This window comes from Homo sapiens, chromosome 9 (assembly GCF_000001405.40).
Source record: "Homo sapiens chromosome 9, GRCh38.p14 Primary Assembly".
NCBI classification, from domain to species: Eukaryota; Metazoa; Chordata; class Mammalia; order Primates; family Hominidae; genus Homo; species Homo sapiens.
The window spans coordinates 33,429,311-33,449,262 of record NC_000009.12 but is presented as its reverse complement, the minus strand read 5'-3'; the positions used below and the strand labels follow the sequence as shown (position 1 = coordinate 33,449,262).

General features: G+C 53.3%; 1 protein-coding gene across 3 annotated transcripts, besides 4 other annotated features; it reads left to right on the top strand.

The window, feature by feature from the left end:
• Window positions 1,495-1,684: a silencer, noted in NCBI's record as "silent region_19834". NCBI's record gives its function as "represses an Ori minimal core promoter by ATAC-STARR-seq in GM12878 lymphoblastoid cells {active_cell/tissue: GM12878}" and the evidence as "EXISTENCE:reporter gene assay evidence [ECO:0000049][PMID:35858748]".
• AQP3 (aquaporin 3 (Gill blood group)) lies at window positions 1,670-8,103 on the top strand. 3 transcript variants are annotated; one of them, NM_004925.5, is made up of 6 exons: window positions 1,670-1,840; window positions 5,371-5,497; window positions 5,805-5,942; window positions 6,293-6,411; window positions 6,745-6,962; window positions 7,052-8,103. In NM_004925.5, the coding sequence occupies exons 1-6, from the start codon at window positions 1,733-1,735 to the stop codon at window positions 7,218-7,220; spliced, it is 879 nt and encodes a 292-aa protein (NP_004916.1). In that variant the 5' UTR covers window positions 1,670-1,732; the 3' UTR covers window positions 7,221-8,103. The 3 variants fall into 3 exon arrangements, with proteins under 3 accessions (NP_004916.1, NP_001305073.1, XP_047279304.1); NM_001318144.2 differs by lacking the exon at window positions 6,745-6,962; XM_047423348.1 differs by lacking the exons at window positions 6,745-6,962; window positions 7,052-8,103 and having other exon boundaries at window positions 5,805-6,084.
• Window positions 5,318-6,517: an enhancer, noted in NCBI's record as "CDK7 strongly-dependent group 2 enhancer chr9:33442744-33443943 (GRCh37/hg19 assembly coordinates)". NCBI's record gives its function as "activates an origin of replication core promoter dependent on BRD2, BRD4, P300/CBP, MED14 and CDK7 cofactors, with strong dependence on CDK7, by STARR-seq in HCT116 cells {active_cell/tissue: HCT116}" and the evidence as "EXISTENCE:reporter gene assay evidence [ECO:0000049][PMID:35650434]".
• Window positions 10,345-10,583: a silencer, noted in NCBI's record as "fragment chr9:33438678-33438916 (GRCh37/hg19 assembly coordinates)". NCBI's record gives its function as "represses an EF-1alpha promoter that drives an FKBP-Casp9 reporter gene in an ReSE screen in HepG2 liver carcinoma cells {active_cell/tissue: HepG2}" and the evidence as "EXISTENCE:reporter gene assay evidence [ECO:0000049][PMID:32094911]".
• Window positions 13,475-13,976: an enhancer, noted in NCBI's record as "H3K4me1 hESC enhancer chr9:33435285-33435786 (GRCh37/hg19 assembly coordinates)". NCBI's record gives its function as "activates a minimal SCP1, AML or CMV promoter by ChIP-STARR-seq in naive H9 embryonic stem cells {active_cell/tissue: H9 hESC(naive)}" and the evidence as "EXISTENCE:reporter gene assay evidence [ECO:0000049][PMID:30033119]".

Sequence of the window (19,952 nt, the reverse complement as noted above, 5' to 3'; positions counted from 1 at the left end):
CTGGCAATGCTGCCATAGAAGCTCAGCCTAAGGGCATGTTGTTTGCTCCCAGGCCACCAGATGTTTCCTTGTTATTAAAAGCAGCATAGAGGGCAAGGTTGCACTTCGGGAGGCCGAGGTGGGAGGATCGTTTAAAGCCAGGAGTTTGAGACTAACCTGGGCAACATAGCAAGACCTCATTTTTACAACAGATTTTTAAAAATTAGCTGAGTGTCATGGTGGCACATAGTCCCTATAGTCCCATCCATTCTGGAGGCTGAGGTGGGAGGATCACTTGGGCCCAGGAGTTCGAGGCTACAGTGAGCTGTGATTGCACCACAGCCTGGGTGATGGAGCAAGACCCTACTCTTTAAAAAGAGAGAGAGGGCAAGGTTGTCCCATGATCCCCCTCAGATAGGGCTGACTCCCCCATAATTAAGTTTGCTTAAAGAGGCAGACTTGCTGGGCTCAGTGGCTCACGCCTGTAATCCCAGCACTTTGGGAGGCTGAGGCGGGTGGATAACTTGTGGTCAGGAGTTCGAAATCAGCCTGGTCAACATGGTGAATCCCCATCTCCACTAAAAAAACAAAAATTAGCTGGGCATGGTGGTGTGCACCTGTAATCCCAGCTAATCGGGAGGCTGAAGCAGGAGAATCACTTGAACCTGGGAGGTGGAGGTTGCAGGGAGCCGAGATCACGCCATTGCACTCCACCTAGGCGACAGAGAGAGACTCCGTCTAAAAAAAAAAAAGAGACAGACTCTTCCTTGGCTGGGGGTAAGTCAGATGGGAGAGGAGAGGGTTAAAAACAGCTGGGACTCAGCCTGCTGGCAAACATGTGGCATGTGGCATGTCGGGGCAACTGCAGCTCAGCCTCTGGAGCCATGTGAGCAATGCACGCAGGTACACGTGTGACAAGCTAGGTCACCTAGCCATGTTCAACAGGCATGTGCACAGCCACGAGGAATGCCCAGCCGTACAATTAGGCACACAGGACATCCGCCATGTGTAGACACAGCTGTGGACATAGCTGGCCAGGACATGCGACACACGACGTGCTCATAGCACAGGGAGAAGGGCCCATGAAGTCTGGTTGGAACTCAGCACGTGTGTCTGTGTGCCCACCTGAGTCTGGACTGCTGCCCCTCTGACACTAGCTGTCCCCTTGAAGGGTCGGTGCCTTATCTGTCCTGACAGAAGAGACAGTGTTGCTTCTCACTTGGGGCTCGCAGCCTCCTCCTCCTGCCTCGAACTGAGGATCTGTTGGGTCCAGTCATCCTGGAGAGATGCGGCCAGTTTCTTTCTGACAGGTCTCCTCCTGCCCGCAAGGAAGTGGGGTGATCACAGGGCGCAGGTGGTCTCTATGACAGCTGCATCCTCTCCAGCCATGGCCCTGAACCCTGCCTATAATCCCACCATTGGCTCTCAGATCTGCCTAAGCCTCTCAGCCCCCTTGACGTCCCCTCCCTTAAGCGCCCTCCGAAGGCCACCCGTCCCTCAAAGCTCCTCACACTCCATGCCCGCAGCTCCCTCCACCCGGCGTCCGCACCAGCCTCCCAGCCGAGGTGGGGCGGGGGCGAGGGGGCGCGCACTCCTCGGCGCTCCGGGACTGCAGGGCGGGGCTGCAGGGCGGGCGGGGCCCGTGTCTCCAGCGCTCCTATAAAGGGAGCCACCAGCGCTGGAGGCCGCTGCTCGCTGCGCCACCGCCTCCCGCCACCCCTGCCCGCCCGACAGCGCCGCCGCCTGCCCCGCCATGGGTCGACAGAAGGAGCTGGTGTCCCGCTGCGGGGAGATGCTCCACATCCGCTACCGGCTGCTCCGACAGGCGCTGGCCGAGTGCCTGGGGACCCTCATCCTGGTGGTGAGTGGAGGGAGCCGGGGAAGCCCTTCTCTCTCCAGCCCTTGCACTCCCCAAACTCTCACTTCCCCGAAGGGGCTGTGTTTTCCAAGGTAGCCTGGACCCACCTCCCCAGCTGTGACCCCCACGCTTAACCGCGGAGGATCAAGCTGACTTCCAAAGTCCTCTTCCCCACGGTTCTAACCCCCTCTCTGACAGCTCCGACTCTTGCCAGAATGACAGCTGTTACTCCCCAGTGATAGTGCCGATCGTTTACCCTCCCACAAGTGACTCAGCCAACAGGCTGGGGGCAGCGGTCACGCTTGCAGTCTGGGACAGCCAGCCACTTCCCCTGCCTCCCACACCCCTCCAGATTCCCAGAATCCCAGCCCCCAGATGTAGGGGAGGGGGCGGAGGCAAATGAGCCATTATTAGGTTATTTGGGTCCTGGGTGTCTGGCCTCTAATGAATAATTAAGCCTCAAAAAGTCCAAAGGTTGAAGTGAGTGAGGACAGTTTGCACGAGTGGGGGCAGAGGGTGCAGGCCACATGGGCTGCGAACAGCGAAGTGGGAAGGGAGGCAGATTCTGACGGTAGAAGGGTGGGAGGAAGCTAGGCCCAGGCACAGAGGACGCGTGTCTAAAGTTGCTCACCTGGTGCTCAGCGACTCCCAGGCCCTGTCTGTTATCCAGACAGATGCTGTCAGCGTCTGTGCAGAAGACGACAAGCATTCTGGTTACTCCCTGGCCTCTTGGTTACTCTGTGGGTTCTCTGAGTGAGCATTTCCCTGCCTGAGTTACTCCTCAGTCCTAGTTACTCCTTGGTCACACCAGTTTCACCCTGGTTTTGTTCTGAGTGACTCTGTTTGCACTTCTTAGGTCTGGCAGACCCACCAGTTATGTTCTATTTCCTGTCCCAGTTACTCTGATTTTTCAGCCGCTCATGTGGTTACACCTGTTTTCCTCTGTGTTCAGTTGCTACATTGCAGTGAGTGGGTTACTCCGTTCCTGCCCCAGCCCTGGGTAGTACAGACCAGCTGGCCCACTGTGGACTAGGAAGCCTAACTAAGGGCAAGTAGGGATCCCCAAATGGTTGAGGATCAGGATCTATGGGCAGAGGAGGGCTGAAACCCACTTCTGGCTTCCAAGAATAGGAAGTGGGGAAGCCACAGGGGGCATTTTATCCACAGCCTCCCATAAGATTAGTCGTCCTATCAGCCAGCCCTAGCCCCTCTCTCCTGTGCCAAGAAGGCAATAGGAGGTGGCCTTTATCACTCTCCTGCCTCGGAGCCCTCACTCCTATCGGAGTCCTGAGTCCAGCCACCTGTTTTAGAGCAGCCAGGCTAGGGGAGGATGATGTCTTCTATTTTCCTAGAGGGGCCTCCTCATTCCCTCCCAAGTCTCAGTTCACTCTCTCACAAAGGAGCCGTTAGTCCTCCCACTGAGCCCCAGGATCATCAGGCTTATCCCAGACCACAAAAGAAGAGTGTTAAATTTTAGGGGAAGGGTTGCAGACTCAGATGGATGTGAGGTATTGGATATCAGTGAGAAGCAGAACTTCAAGGACTGCATGAACTGGAGGGGCAGGCCTGGGGATCCCTTTGTAGTGGGTGAGTGCCTGCCTGCCTACCTGCGTGTTGGGAGCCTAGGCCTGCAGTGGCAGAATCAGGGTTGGCTTTGGGGTGAGGAAAGCCCCTTTCTCTGAGATACCTGGTGTGAGGGCAGGGGGCGGTGCTGGCCGAGAACTCAGGGCAGGGGTTGGGGGAGGAAGAGGAAGATTAGCCCCAAGGTGGTGGAACTGGCTCTGACAGCTCCTCCCTCCAAGGCGTCCTGGGATGGAGCCAGGTCTGAGCCTTTGGCAGGCAAGGAGCTGCTGCCAGGGCCTCCCAAGCAGGGCAGGGCGCCTCAGACCCTCACGTGCCTGTCTCCCACCACCCCTCCTCACACATACACCTGCAATCTCTGATCTTTGCTCTCACCTGCCTGCACACCTTTGCCCCATGTCATTGCCGCTGGCTTCTCCGTTATCTCTTGGTCTTTCTGGGATGATAATCAAAATGCTTAACTATCCAGTACAACAGGCACTGACCCGTCAGAATAAACAAGGTCTGTAGCACAGGTCCTGGAAACTGCCTGCTCTGTGGGCATAAAACCTTTAGTTATGGGCAGGTGGGAGAGGAGACCAGGGCAAGGCATTGGAGCAGCTTTGAGGGACACTCAGGGGGCTCAGGGCAACAATGCTTTACAGCTGCTGCAGAAGTATTTTCAGGCTTGAACAAGGGGAACAGACATAGTACGTTCTTTTTCTTTTTTAAATAGAGACAAAGTCTCACTATGTTGCCCAGGCTGTTCTCAAACTCCTGGGTTCAAGATCCTCCCATCTCAGCCTCCAAAGTGCTGGGATTACAGGTGTGAGCCACCACAGCTGGCTCCAGTATGTTCTATATTTGTAGAACACCAGGGCTCTTAGTCTCTTTTAGTTCCCCCATTTTTGGCAGAAAGTTTAGAACCGATCTCCCCATTTCTACAGCCCTGGGTCCCGGGCTGGGGATAGTGAGAGGAGCCACACAGATCCCTGTCTGTAGGACCTCCAAATCTGAGTGGGGAATCTGGACCCCTGAGAGCAGAGAGGTCATGGGTGGAGAGAGGAGACGCTGGGACAGGGACAGGTAAAGGAAGGGGAGGTTGTTGAGGGGGACATGGTGAAGGCTGGGGCTCTGGCATCCTGGACTCAGGAGAAGTGGATTCAACCTCACTTCTGGTCTCCTCCCTATTTATTTATGCCGCCCATTGCCACCACTACCACCACCACATGAGCTTTTCTTTTCAACTCTTTTTTTTTTTTTTTTGAGATGGAGTCCCGCTCTGTCGCCCAGGCTGAAGTGCAGTGGCGCAATCTTGGCTCACTGCAACATCTGCCTCCCATTTTCAAGTGATTCTCCTGCCTCAGCCTCCCGAGTAGCTGGGATTACAGGCACCTGCCACCACGCCTGGCTAATTTTTGTACTTTTAGTAGAGATGGGGTTTCACTATGTTGGCCAGGCTGGTCTCAAACTCCTGACCTCAGGTGATCCACCCACCTCGGCCTACCAAAGTGCTGGGATTACAGTGTGAGCCACTGCACCGGGCCTACATGAGCTTTTCTTTGGGGCAGCTGGGGGATGAGTGAGAGGCTTCCCACCTTTATGGTCCAGGCCTGAAGGGCTGTGGAGAAACTTGTGCTAAGGTGAAAGCTGTTCCCCTACACCTACGCCTGCTGAAATTCAAGGAAAATCAGTGAAGATGGTTCAGTCATCTTCTAGGATCCCAGTCGCAGACCCTGCTTCCAGCCCTTTCCATAGGGCCCTCTCATATTAGAGTTGGGACAGTGGGGTGGGAAGGCATGTGTCCTTTTTCTGGAAAGTGCAATTACAGCAGAAGGGGTTTGGGCTGGGTTCCAGGAAGCGCCTCTAGTCCTCCCAGTGGTGGCGAGTGGGCATGTTGCTGGCTTCACCCCTTCCTTCTGGAGTGAGAGTTGCTGGTCCTCACCCTCCCTGCCTGTTCTTCTTCCTGACAGATGTTTGGCTGTGGCTCCGTGGCCCAGGTTGTGCTCAGCCGGGGCACCCACGGTGGTTTCCTCACCATCAACCTGGCCTTTGGCTTTGCTGTCACTCTGGGCATCCTCATCGCTGGCCAGGTCTCTGGTAAGGCCTTAACCCTGCCCCCAGCCCTTGGCCCTCAATAGCATTCCCACTAGGTGTCCTGGCATTCCTAAGGGCAGGTCACAGCTGTGGCCTCTGCTTTGGCCCCTTGGGAAAGGAGGGTGGAGAAGAAACTTGACACTTAGAACTTTCGACTCTCACCTTGGAATCAGAGATTATCAGCTGACCTGTTACATAGACCAACCGCCATCCTGTGCAAGAAACCCCTCTCTGCACCCCTTCTCAGGGGACCCTAGCCTGCCGACTGTGGCAGGCTGCAGCTAATAGGTCCCTTGTCCCCTCTGCCCAGGGGCCCACCTGAACCCTGCCGTGACCTTTGCCATGTGCTTCCTGGCTCGTGAGCCCTGGATCAAGCTGCCCATCTACACCCTGGCACAGACGCTGGGAGCCTTCTTGGGTGCTGGAATAGTTTTTGGGCTGTATTATGGTAAGCATTCCCCACCCTGTCCTCCTCCACTACCCCCGTCCCTCTGTTCAGGACCTGCTGGCACCAGGCCTTTTGATGACAGACGGCTAGGACCTGCCCAGGCCCCGGGCTCATGACTCACTCATTCACGCACAGGGTCAAGGTAGGGGGCACGAAGGGAAAGAAACAAGTTGGGCAATAACAGAGTCTCAGGCCCTCCACCCCACCCCACGCCACCCCCTCTGCCTGCTGCAATACAGCAGTATTGCTACTTACCCATAACTCATGGGAGGGTGGGGAGGGCACACCTGAGAGGGAAGTCTGGGCTCAGGCCTCTCCCCCGACTCACTGTGTGTCTAATCTGTCACCAGATGCAATCTGGCACTTCGCCGACAACCAGCTTTTTGTTTCGGGCCCCAATGGCACAGCCGGCATCTTTGCTACCTACCCCTCTGGACACTTGGATATGATCAATGGCTTCTTTGACCAGGTATGGGCTGGGGACGTGTGAGGGGAACGCAGGGAGGGGACCGAGTTGCCTTGGTAGCTCATGGGCTGGTTGGGGGACAGGACTCCTCGACTGTAGCAGGGTTTCTCCAATCTGTGGGGTAACCCGCATCAGAACATGGTGGCAAGTACTTACAAAACATGCGGCTCTCCAGCGGGTTCTTGTCACGCAGACATTCTAGCACCATTGCTTTCAGGAGAAGAGCATGGGCGGGCGCTGACAAGAGTTTAAGAGCTAGAGGGAAGACGGGGGATGGAAGGAGGGGTCAGAGAAAGGGAGGGAGCTGCAGCTCACCCTGTTCTCCCCACTCCCCAGTTCATAGGCACAGCCTCCCTTATCGTGTGTGTGCTGGCCATTGTTGACCCCTACAACAACCCCGTCCCCCGAGGCCTGGAGGCCTTCACCGTGGGCCTGGTGGTCCTGGTCATTGGCACCTCCATGGGCTTCAACTCCGGCTATGCCGTCAACCCTGCCCGGGACTTTGGCCCCCGCCTTTTTACAGCCCTTGCGGGCTGGGGCTCTGCAGTCTTCACGTGAGTACAGCCCCCACCCAGCTCACCCCAGCCTGCCTCTCCTCTGCCCTGCCCCCCATGTCCCTGACTATGAGTGTCTGTCCCCCCAGGACCGGCCAGCATTGGTGGTGGGTGCCCATCGTGTCCCCACTCCTGGGCTCCATTGCGGGTGTCTTCGTGTACCAGCTGATGATCGGCTGCCACCTGGAGCAGCCCCCACCCTCCAACGAGGAAGAGAATGTGAAGCTGGCCCATGTGAAGCACAAGGAGCAGATCTGAGTGGGCAGGGGCCATCTCCCCACTCCGCTGCCCTGGCCTTGAGCATCCACTGACTGTCCAAGGGCCACTCCCAAGAAGCCCCCTTCACGATCCACCCTTTCAGGCTAAGGAGCTCCCTATCTACCCTCACCCCACGAGACAGCCCCTTCAGGATTTCCACTGGACCTTGCCCAAATAGCACCTTAGGCCACTGCCCCTAAGCTGGGGTGGAACCGGAATTTGGGTCAATACATCCTTTTGTCTCCCAAGGGAAGAGAATGGGCAGCAGGTATGTGTGTGTGTGCATGTGTGTGCATGTGTGTGCATGTGTGTGCAGGGGTGTGTGTGTGTGGGGGGGGTTCCCAGATATTCAGGGCAAGGGACCAGTCGGAAGGGATTCTGGCTATTGGGGGAGCCCAGAGACAGGGGAAGGCAGCCTGTCCATCTGTGCATAAGGAGAGGAAAGTTCCAGGGTGTGTATGTTTCAGGGGCTTCACATGGAGGAGCTGCAGATAGATATGTGTTTCTGTGTATGTGTATGTCTGCCTTTTTTTCTAAGTGGGGGCTTCTACAGGCTTTTGGGAAGTAGGGTGGATGTGGGTAGGGCTGGGAGGAGGGGGCCACAGCTTAGGTTTGGAGCTCTGGATGTACATACATAAGTAGGAGCAGTGGGACGTGTTTCTGTCATAATGCAGGCATGAAGGGTGGAGTGAAGTCAGGTCATAAGTTTCATGTTTGCTTTTGTTTTGTTTTGTTTTTAATGTATGTAGCAGATGTTACAGTCTTAGGGATCCGGGATGGGAGACCCCACTTTAGAAAGGGTCGTCACTCCTTTAATCCTCTACTCAACAATGTACTCTTTTACTTTTATATTAAAAAAAATAAAATAAATATGTGCCTAAAACCTCCAGTTGTGCAAATATCTTTCTGCTTGCTCTGCTGCTTTTCTGGGGCCAGTTAAGGAGCTTCCGCATGCCCACACTGACCCAGGGTGCCCGGCTGAGTGTCTGATCTGGTCAGGTTACCCTGGGGGTCATACAGAGAGGTTAGAGAGCCTCTTCACCAAGGCTCTCAGTTTGAACTCAGTGGTCCCAAACTTTCCCCCAAGTTTCCGTCCTCATGGGTACCCCCAGCATAATGAATGGAATCTTCTTCCCAATCCCTGTACCCACACATCACCCCAGAAAGGCTTGAGCCCTATGCAGGGAAGATCTTGCTGCAGAGCTACCCAATGGGGAGAACTGCTGCCCAGGAGGTGGTGAGTTCCCTGTTCCTGGAGGAGACCCATCAGACTGGGAACCTGTATTGTCCTCCACAACCTGCAGCTATTCAGGCTCCATAACCTCCACCCAGACCTTGGCCACAGCCCCCCTGGCAGCCTCCCTGCCTCCAGGCCTGCCCCAGTCAGTCCACAAAGCAACCAGAGGGATCTCTTCAAAACCTCTGCTGAAAGTGCCCATCTGGAGACCATCCACAATGCTCCATCTGGCGTTCAGGACCTCCAGGTAGGGTCAGGAGCCTACCCCTCCTCTCACATGGCTCCATCCACCTCAGCCTACTTTATGTGTTTCTGTGTTTTTGTGTCTTCAGACTTTGCTCCAAAGTCCCAACTCACATCTTTGCTCATTAAAGTCCTCATGATCTGCTTTAACGCCTCTTCCTCCGGGAAGCCATCCCTGCTCTGCCTCACTCTTCCAGCAACTTCTAGTCAGCTGTCTTAAGTGCCAAGACCCGCAGTTGCGTTCACGCTCATCTCCCCTTCTGCTTCATTTCTTCAGTCATTTCTTCACTTCTACAGAGGCACCTCTGTGCCCAGTAAGGCAGGGGGTTGGAAGACTGACTCTGGCGCTCTGACTTGCCCAGAAAAGCAACGGGCTCGGCACACCTGAGAACAGGAAGCTTTTCTCATTTGCTTCTTCCTTACCATACCCTCCTCAAGTTTCATCAAGGGAAACTTCATGCAATACAAGGGAAGGCATCCCCTACCCAATCCCTCCTCTGAGCGAACCCCATGGGAGCCAGAGGATCCCTGGGTGTGGCAGGCGAATTGTGGTTTTTAGAAGCTAAGCCAGCTTTTGCTCTCCAGCCTTCACAGATGAGATCATGGTCCAGAGAGGGCGGGTGGCAAACACAGGGTCACACAGCCAAGAATCTGCCTACGGAGGTGAGGGCAGGAGAAGGCAATACCATTTTAGGTTTCTATCCCTTCTTTGTCCCCAGCTCCCAAGAGGCGTGTCTGGAATGCTGGAGGGACCTGAGCCAGAGGGAGTGTCCCCTTCCCAGGCCCTGGGGGGAGGAAGGGCAAACCTTGGGAGGGGAATACGGCTGCAGAGGGTCATTCCAGCCACACCAGTCCCACCTGGGCTGCCCTCACCTTGCTGTCCTCCCCAGCATGCCCCATGTCCTTCTGTCACCCATTTCTCTCAAATCCTGCTGCTGACCCTGACCAGTCAGCCTAGGGGGTGTTGGCAGCACTTTTGGTGCTGCCACCTGGCCCAGCAAGGATTCTCTAGCTGGGTGACCTTGGGGTAGTCATGTTCTTTTCCTGAACCTCCCTTATCTGTGAATTGGGAGATATTGAGAGGAGGAAATAATGGAAGATGATTCATGGAAAGGACTTAACACAGTGATTAGCAGATGGTAAATCCTCAATAAATGTCACCTCATGATTTTTCCTGCAGAACCAGAGATGGGGGTGGGGAGGCAGTGGAGGGAGGATGCTAAAGGCTGTTTTTTTTAAAGGTCATTGAATTCAATATCCTCTTCCTCCTCAGATTCCTTCCATGGATTCTGAATTTCCCGAGAAAGGGGAGGGAGGAAGTGTGAGGGCGATAGCGTGCTGTGTCCTGACTTCAGAAGGCTCTTGGGAGAGATGGAGGGGAGACAAGAGGGGCTCACACACAGGATGCAGGGCAAAGAAGCACGTGGCCGCAACCAAGGGAACGTGTTGCCTGGAGGGTCAGGCCATGTGAGAGAGGGTAAGGCCCGGCCAGGACCAGGAGCAGTGGGTCAGGGCAGGGGCTGAAAGGGACATGAGCCAGGCAGCAGCTGTGTCACCCCTCCAGGGGTAGAAGGGAAGCTCCCCACCTCCTCACCCCACCTCCAGGTGTACCTTCCACCAGCAGTTCTGGCTGTCAGAAAGTTCTAGCAAAACAACTCTTCATCTCCTTTAGGAAGGTGTCTTCTCCCGGCCGGGCACGGTGGCTCACACCTGTAATCCCAGCACTTTGGGAGGCCGAGGCGGGCGGATCACGAGGTCAGGAGATCGAGACCATCCTGGCTAACACGGTGAAACCCTGTCTCTACTAAAAAATACAAAAAACTAGCTGGGCGTGGCAGCGGGTGCCTGTGGTTCCAGCTACTCGGGAGGCTGAGGCAGGAGAATGGCATAAACCCAGGAGGCGGAGCTTGCAGTGAGCCGAGATCGCACCACTGCACTCTAGCCTGGGCGACAGAGCAAGACTCCGTCTCAAAAAAAAAAAAAAAAAGCCGGGCGCAGTGGCTGACGCTTGTAATCCCAGCACTTTGGGAGGCCGAGGCGGGCGGATCATGAGGTCAGGAGTTCGAGACCAGCGCGGCCAACATAGTGAAACCCCATCTCCACTAAAAATACAAAAATTAGCTGGGCGTGGTGACACACGCTTGTAGTCCCAGCTACTTGGGAGGCTGAGGTGGGAGAACCGCTTGAACCCAGGAGGCAGAAGTTGCAGTGACCTGAGACCATGCCATTGCACTCCAGCCTGGGTGACAGAGTGAGACTCTGTCTAAAAAAAAAAAAAAAGGAAGTTATCTTCTCCCATTCCATGTAATCCATTTTCTGGTGAGGACATGAAGGGAGAATTGCATCCCCTATCTCACCTCTGTCCCTTCTTCCTGTGCTGAGCCATCTCCACAGCCCACTTTGGAGGAGCTCATGTTTCCTTAAAATTCAGATCTGCTTGGGTTAAAATCAGTCTCTGTGAAACTTGAGCTTGGTTCCTGTTTCTTAGTGTGCCTGCCTCAGTGTGTGTGTGCACCCAAGCAAATGCACTTAGTGTTTCTGGTTGTGCCTTTCTTTCAATGTATCTGGTTATGTCTCTGTGGGTCCAAACCTCTGGCAGACCATGTCTCTGTCTCTTTCCGAGTATCTCTTACTGCCTGACTCTTTGTGTCTGGGTCTTTCTTTTATTATTATTATTATTATTATTTTTGAGATGGAGTTTCACTCTTGTCATCCAGGCTGGAGTGCAATGGTGTGATCTCAGCTCACTGCAACCTCTGCCTCCTGGGTTGAAGCAATTCTCCTGCCTCAGCCTCCCGAGTAGCTGGGATTACAAGCACATGCCACCACGCCCAGCTAATTTTTGTATTTTTAGTAGAGACAGGGTTTCACCGTGTTGCCCAGGCTGGTGTCGAACTCCTGACCTCAGGTGATCCACCTGCCTTGGCCACCCAAAGTGCTGGGATTACAGGCATGAACCACAGTGCCCAGCCTTGTGTCTGGGTCTTTCTTTGTGTACCTCTGAGTGAACATCCTGGACTGTGACCCTCAGATCACATCTCTGCATGTTCCTCTGAGCCCCTCTCTCAGTGTACTTTGAGTACACCTCCATGTACTCAGTGCATATCTCTGCCTGCCAGCCAAGTCTCACTTGTGTTCCCCTAGGGCAGGCCTCCTCCTTAATTCCTGGTAATGAGCTCCCTCCTTCCTCTTTCCTCTTGATTTTGTTTTTCTGAAAACCTAGGTGGGGCACTTCTAGGCTTGGGGAAACGTGGGTGGGGTAGAGTTGGGTGGGGTGGGAAGGGGAGAAGAGGGACTACTCCACCCAGTACAGGGACCCCAGGGGCCAGAGACAGCCTGGATCCCCGAGGAACAGTTTGTGAGGTTGCTGGCCTAAGCAGGGCCTCGAACCTTCTGGCTGGGAGGAGGGAGCCTGTCTTGCGGGTAGGACCCCTGAGCTATGGGCCCTGGGAATGTGGTAGTACAAAGAAAGGAAATATGGAGATGGAGACCCTGGGGCCACCAGGGAGACTGGAAGGAGGCTTCCTGGGTAGAACCTCGGAGTCTGACGGGGGCAGGGGAATGAGTGCGTCTGCCCCCAGCTAGGGATGGGCTCCTCAGGGACTCAGCATCTCCATGTCCCGGGCTTTGGCTTTTGGTGCCAGGTTTGTCTGAGGTAAGGGAGGGGGTGGCAGTGGAAACACAGAGGATGTGTCTGGTCTGGGCACCTAGGCTGTGGAGGGTGCCAGGAGGGGACACCTCCTCTTTGTGTAAAGGCAAAACTAGAGTCTCATCTAGAGTCACAGAGCAGAGCGGCAGAGCCTGCACTAGACCCCAGTCTTCTCAATCCCTTCCCCAGAGAGCATTTCGCAACATCTCAGGGAGTAGGGCTCTGAATGCAGATTACCTAGGTTCCAAACGAGCCTTTCCCAGCCACGGGATCTTGGGTGGGTGGGAGTCTCCATCTGCTCCAGATCCAATCCCTATCCTGTTCTGTGTCTCAGGAGGCTAATCTCTACGGGCGGGGCGGCATTCCCGGGGCCTTCTTGCCCTCAGGCTTCCAGCTGGGTTTGGCAAATGGGAGACACAGCTAGGAAACCAGAGGGCAGGAAGGGTGGGGGGATAAAGGTCAGGCTATTCACGCCTTTTCCAGGGCTCTGGTTTTTCCTGCATTCTAGAACACTGCTCTCCCCTTGCCTCTTCTGGCTGAGGGGGAACGGCTGCTGTTGGTTAGTCCCCAAGCCGTCCCTGGTTGGTCCCCTTGACTCTACCGCCACCTCTGTAAATAGTCCCTCCTCAGGCTCTCTTCAGTGAAGCCTCAGAGGACACTATCTGTGCCTGCGGCATCCCTGACTGATGTCACCTCTCTGAATATCAGTTTCTTCCTCTGTGAAATGGGGATAGTAATAGTATCTACCTCATTAGGTTGTGCAAGGCGGGGTAAGTGGATTAACACACGCATCAGAACAATGCCAGATGTGGCAGGAAGGGCTTTGGAAGTGCAGGCTATAACGATGGTGACGATGACTCCTTCTGAGCTCCCTATGTACCGTGGGGAAGGAAAGCATGAAGACAGGCTTGCAAGTGACGCCTGATTCCCCAAGGCCATCTGCTCTAGTTCCGGGAGCTTGGAGCTTCTGTGGGGCCTTAGTCAGCCTGGGAGTTAAGCCCCAGTCCCTCCAGCTTCAGTGGAGTCAGCTTTCCCCAGGCAGCCTGGGCTTAGGGGAGATGGAAGCCAGAGACTCTTTCCCACCCTGGGTCCTCTCCAGAAAATTCAGGCTCCTGAGAAAGGGAGGGCTGGGCATCCCATCCCGTCGTGGGGCTCAGGGGATATGGTAGGGGTTGAGAGTGGTGATGGCGATGAAACGGGTTCACAGGGTGGTGTATGTGGCATCATGGCCAGGAGGCAATCCCAGAAGGTTGAGGGCACAAGCAAAAATCCCAATCTGTGTTTACTAATCTTGTTTCACAGCCTCCTATCAGGAAGTTCTTTCTGAGGTCTCATTGACATCCCACTTTAGCTCCTCAAGAACAGGGCAGAAACCAGGACAATTGCAGTGACTCTGGGGACCTCTTCCAGCTCTCACCAACACACTGAGAGACCCAGCAGCTTTGGGAGCCAGAAAAGGATCGGTGCCCCTTCCCAGCCCCGTGTATGGCCAAAGCACACTAGGGGACACTAACCGGCACGTCTTAGGGACAGCTGAGATTGACAGTGGGGTGGGGTGATGAGTGGGCTGCAAACCAGCCACCCTGACTCCTCTAGGGGCCCCCACCCTCTATTGCCTTGGTCATACCTCCAGGTCAGAGTGAAATATAATGGGCGAAGAAGGAATGGGTGGCATCGTCCCCTGCTTCTAGAGATCTCTGGGGATAAAGCCTTAAACCAGATCCAATTGCCTTGGCCAACTTCTTTGGTCTCTTGCGTCGGGGAAGCTGTTTCAGGGACAATCCCATGGCTCTGTGGTCTCTGCCTTTTTCAGAAGCTCCTGTGAGGAGCAATGGGTTCTTGTCACACTTCCTGGCACGGCTTAGTGCTGAAGAGGTCTGTTTGGGAGAGGCTGGGGGGGACCCTGGGAGCCCCGATAATCATCTTGTTATGGTCAGCTGCTCGTCTCCATGGAGATGCCCCCCACAGCCAGGGAGGCACCTGGAATGTCTGGCCACCAGCCCGTCCTTCGCCTCTCGGTCCAGGGTCACTGCCAGGGCTGGGCTGGAAAGCAGCTGAGAGAGAGGAGGAGGCGGCCTGGCTTGAGGTGGGAGGTGGGCCGTGGGCCGCAGTCTCAGGGTGCTCGTTCCTGACAGAGGCAACTTTTAGCTGGGGGATCCCCACTTCCATGTTGGGGTGGGGAGGGGAGAGTGATCCCTGGCCTGTGGACAAAGTCTTCCCTTATCGGAAGATGGGCTTACAGCTTAGCCACCTTCGACCCTTGGAATGCATATGTGCCCACATGCACGTGAGGGTGTGTCTTTGACTGATGAGGGACTGAGGCTTTGCACACCCTCACACAAAATCATGCACACCCACACTGGCTCATCCACACCCCCACACATGGCACACTCACTCCATACTTGACCCAACTACAGTCAAACAAGCCCTGACAGCGACTCTCACTCATTACACACACACGCTCAAACACACTCAGATACACACCCACACTCCACATCCTTATATTCACACAGCCTTACACTCTCAGGGGCACTCACACCCGAATACACACTCACCCACACTCCTACCTTGTGGGGCCAGAAGCCACACATCTATGTACTGAGTCGGACAGAGCGGCAGTGTGTGTGGAGGTGGGCACAGGACTGGGGGTACAGGATTGGGGGTTGCGATATTCCAAACAAGACACGGAGGTCAGGACGTGGGATTGGGAAGTCTTTAGGTTTTGAGATCACAACCCAGATTTTCAGAGCAAGTGGTCAGGAAGCGGGAGGTCTGTAGACTGTGGCTGAGTCTGAGTGCCTGGGTAGGCACACACCATAGCTGTTGACAAATACTTGCTGAATAAGCGAACAGCAGGATAGACTAAAACTTCTGATTTCTAACTGGTAGAGCAGCCACTGTCTCACAGTTTAGAAACTCAGGCACGAGAGTCAGGGCCATCTTACCCTCTGAAGTCAATGGATCCACACCGTTACTGCAGTTCTGCAGAGCAGGTAGCTGAGTCTCAAATACAGGTGACTTGCACGAAGCTACTGGGTAAGGCAGTGGCCTGTCCAGGCCTGGGTCCCCAGTCTCAGAGTACATCTTCTAAGCCCAGAGACATCTGACTGTAGAGAGAAGCCTTGGCGGGTCCAGCTGCCAGGGGCGGAACAGAAAGTGACAATGCTCTGTGCTGTCCCAGGGATGTGGACTCCCGCTAGGAAAGAGGAGGACCTGTAGGGGATGCCTTGAGGGGCACAGGGTTGAAGAGGCCAGCAGACATCTGCAGAAGGGCTCCTGGAAGAGTCTCATGTGGAAAAGAGTATCTCCTGGCCTTTCTACTAGAGAGCTTGTTTATTTTGTAATTATTACTAATTTATTTTGAGATGGAGTCTTGCTCTGTTGCCCAGGCTGGAGTGCAATGGCATGATCTTGGCTCACTGCAACTTCCCCCTCCTGAGTTCAAGCAATTCTCCCACCTCAGCCTCCCGAGTAGCTGGGACAACAGGCGCCTGCCACCACACCCAGCTAATTTTGTTTTGTATTTTTAGTAAAGACAGGGTTTCGCCATGTTGGCCAGGCTGGTCTCGAACTCCTGACCTCAAGAGACCTGCCCTTCTCGGCCTCCCAAAGTGCTGGGATTACAGGCGTGAGCTACCGTGCCCGGCCCTTATTTTATTATTGATTTTTTTTTTTTTTCTTGAGACAAGGTCTTGCTCTGTCACCCAGGCTGGAGTGCAGTGGCACGAACACAGCTCACGGCAGCCTCCATCTCCATTAGTGATCCTCTCACCTCAGCCTTCTGAGTAGCTGGCACCACAGCTACGCGCCACCATGCCTGGCTAATTTTTCAAATTTTTTGTAGAAATGGGGTCTTGCCATGTTCCTCAGGCTGGTCTTGAACTCCTAGCTTCAAGCGATCCTCCCACCTCAGCCTTCCAAAGTGCTAGAATTACAGGTATGAGCCACAGCACCTGGCTCATGTATTTCTTTATTATTTCATCAAACATTTATTGGCCAGGCGTGGTGGCTCATGCTTGTAATCCCAGCACTTTGGGAGGCCGAGGTGGGTGGATCACCTGAGGCCAGGAGTTCAAGACCAGCCTGCCCAACATGGTGAGACCCTGTCTCTACTAAAAATGCAAAAATTTGCCGGGTGTGGTGGCACGCACCTGTAGTCCCAGCTACTTGGGAGGCTGAGGCAAGAGAACCTCTTAAACCTGGGAGGAGGAGGTTGCAGTGCGCTGAGATCATGCCACTGTACTCCAGCCTGAGTGACAGAGTGAGACTCCGTCTCAAACAAAACAAAACAAAACAAAAAACATTTAAGCATCTTTTTTTAGTTTTTTAAATTTATTTTTATTTTTTATAGGCAGGGTTCCATCTGTTCTGCAGGCTGGAGTGCAGTGGTGTGATCCCAGCTCACTGCAACCTCAACCTCCTGGGGTCAAGTGATCCTCCCACCTCAGCCCCCAGAGTAGCTGGGACTATAGGTGTGTACCACCACACTGAGCTAATTTATTATTTTTTTCTACTTTTTGTAGATATGGTGTCCCCCTATGTTACTCACACGGGTCTCTAACTCTTGAAGTGAGCCTTCTGCCTTGGCCTCCCAAAATGCTGGGATTATAGTCATGAACCACCTCGCCTGACCACGCACTTTTTTTTTTTTTTGAGATGGAGTTTCGCTCTTGTTGCCCATGCTGGAGTGTAATAGTGTGATCTCGGTTCACTGCAACCTCCGCCTCCCGGGTTCAAGTGATTCTCCTGCCTCAGCCTCCTGAGTAGCTGGGATTATAGGTGTGTGCCACCACGCCCAGCTAATTTTTGTATTATTAGTAGAGATGGGGTTTCACCATATTGACCAGGCTGGTCTCGAAATCCTGACTTCAGGTGATCCTCCAACCTTGGCCTCCCAAAGTGCTGGGATTACAGGTGTGAGCTTCCAGGCCCGACCTCCCAAGCACCTATTTTTCAATGCCAGGTTGGCCATGGTAAGCACCAGAAATACTATGATGACTAATATCTTATATAATATTGTGATAAGATATACCACAATATTAGGTAAAAAGCATCTGGATGCCAGTAAGAGGAAATTTGACTCAATGTGGCTTGGGCAACGGTGGTAAATGGCTCACATAACTGAACAATTTAGAGGAAAACTTCACTTGAGGCTTGATCCAGCATACATGTCCTTTCTGTCTCTTCTGTCTTCCTTCCATGCTGTCAGCCTCATCCTAAGGCTAGATTCTCTGTGGTTTCAAGAGAGCTGGCAGTGGCTCTCGGGCCACATGCTTCCTTGTTAATGTTCAGCAGGGAAGATGGAACATCTTTGTCACTAGCTGTTCCAGTAAACACCCTAAGGTACACTCTGATTATATCAGCTTGGTCATGGGCCCATCCCTCATGTTTCCCACCTCTGGTCCCAAGAGAGATGTCAACTTCCTCTGAAAAAAATGGATTCCCAAATAGAAACTGAGGACTGTTCCTGCCTTCATGGAATCTAAAGGCTAATTAGTGGAGGATACTGCAAATACAAGCAACCAGAGGCAATTTGGACAGCATTAAATCAAGCGCGGAGCCCTTTTAAGGCCCACATCACCTTCCCATGCCCCTCCACCTTTATACTGAGTCCTGAAGGATGAGAAGGAATTAGCCTGTGGGCTGATCCAGGGAGAGGTAACAGCTTGTCTAAAAGCCTGAAGGCAGGAGATGAGGGTGACCTGCAAGAGCTGGACAGAGTTCAGTGTTGCTGGAGCTGAGAATGCCAGATGAGACTAGAAGGGTGTGTGGGGCCAAGTTAGGCAGGATCCAGGCCAGGGAGGTTCTGGGGAACCACAGCCTCCTACCGTTCTTGCTTAGTCATCCCTATAAGCTCATCCATCACCAACCTAGGGTGTCAGGAAGGAGTCAACTTGGGACCAGTTGCCACCTTGGATAGAGACCAATGCACACAGTGCAGGGAGGGGCCTGGGTGTCAGGACCTCCAAGTTATTCTGAGACCCAGAGTAATTCCCACTACCACTCTTTACCTCAGTTTCTCCCTCAGTACCACAGGGATGTGGCATGAGATGATTTGAGTCTCAATTTCCTTTCCCAGGCCTAGCATTCTTGGATTATTTTCTAGGGTCCTAACAGCCTTAAATTCAGATGAGAGAGGGCAGGGGGACATTGCATCAGAGGGCAGGGTGTGAGAAAAGGGACAGAGACACAGCTGAAGCAGAGAGATCCTGAAAGCCACACATGAAGCCAGAAGGCAGCAGCAATGGGAGGGGACTTGGCTGTGAGGACCTGGAATGCCAAGTTTAAGAATTAGAGGATGCAAATGAGAGGGGTGGGAAAATGTGTCCAAAATGGTACTTAAGAAAGGTGGATTTAAACAGCAGAAATACACAAAAAACAAACAAACAAAAAACAAAAAAACAAACAGAGGCTGGGTGCTGTAGCTCATGCATCTGTAATCCCAGCACTTTGGGAGGCCGAGGCGGGTGGATCATCTGAGAATAGGAGTTCAAGACCAGCCTGGTCAACAAGGCGAAACTCTGTTCTACGAAAAATACAAAAATTAGCCGAGTGTGGTGGCGGGCACCTGTAGTCCCAGCTACTCGGGAGGCTGAGGCAGGAGAATCGCTTGAACCTTGGAGGCAGAGGTTGCAGTGAGCCAAGATTGCGCTACTGCACTCCAGCCTGGGCAATACAGCGAGACTCTGTCTCAAAAACAACGAACAAACAAACAAACAAACAAACAAAGGTGGGTCAAGATAGTTGCCGGGGGCAGGATTGGGGGAGGTGGGAAGGCTGCTGAGAGATAGTAAGAATTCTGTCCTGAGTGGATCCTGTCAAAGGGGGAAAGGCTGAGGTCCTGACATTTTTGTCACCATCTTGGCCTGGACCCCTGGGTCCCTGAAACATACCGTGGTAACTCAGATGTGTATCTTGCTCTTTTTCTCTGAATTCCACTTGAAAAAGAAGAAAAGGAATCTCTGGCTGGGTGTGATGGCTCATGTCTGTAATCCCAATACTTTGGGAGGCCAAGGTGGGTGAATCACTTGAGCCCAGGAGTTTGAGACCAGCTTGGGAAACATGGTGAAACCTTATCTCTACAAAAAATTAAAAAAAAATTTATATGGGCATGGTGGTGCGTGCCTGTAGTCCCAGCTACTCAGGAGGTTAGGGTGGGAAGATTGCTTGATCCCAGTAGGTCAAGGCTGCAGTGAGCTGTGATTGTGCAACTGCACTCCAGCCTGGGCAACAGAGCGAGACTTTGTCTCAAAAAAAAAAAAAAAAAAAAAAAAGGAAATTGTTTATACATGCTATAACACAGATGAACCTTGGAAACAGTATGCTAAGTGAAAGAAGCCAGTCACAAAAGTCTACATGTTGTATAAAATGTCAGAACAGGCAAATCTATAGTGACAGAAAGTATGTTAGTGGTTGCCAGGGGCTGGGGCAGATGAGGACTGACTCCTAATGGGGCTGAGTTGTCTTTTTAGAGTGATGACATGTTCTGGAATTAGACAGTGATAAAGGTTGCATAACTTTGTGAATACACTAAAAAACCATTAAATTGTAAAATTTAGAAGGGTAAATATTATGGCATGTGAAGAAGTGTATCTCAATAAGA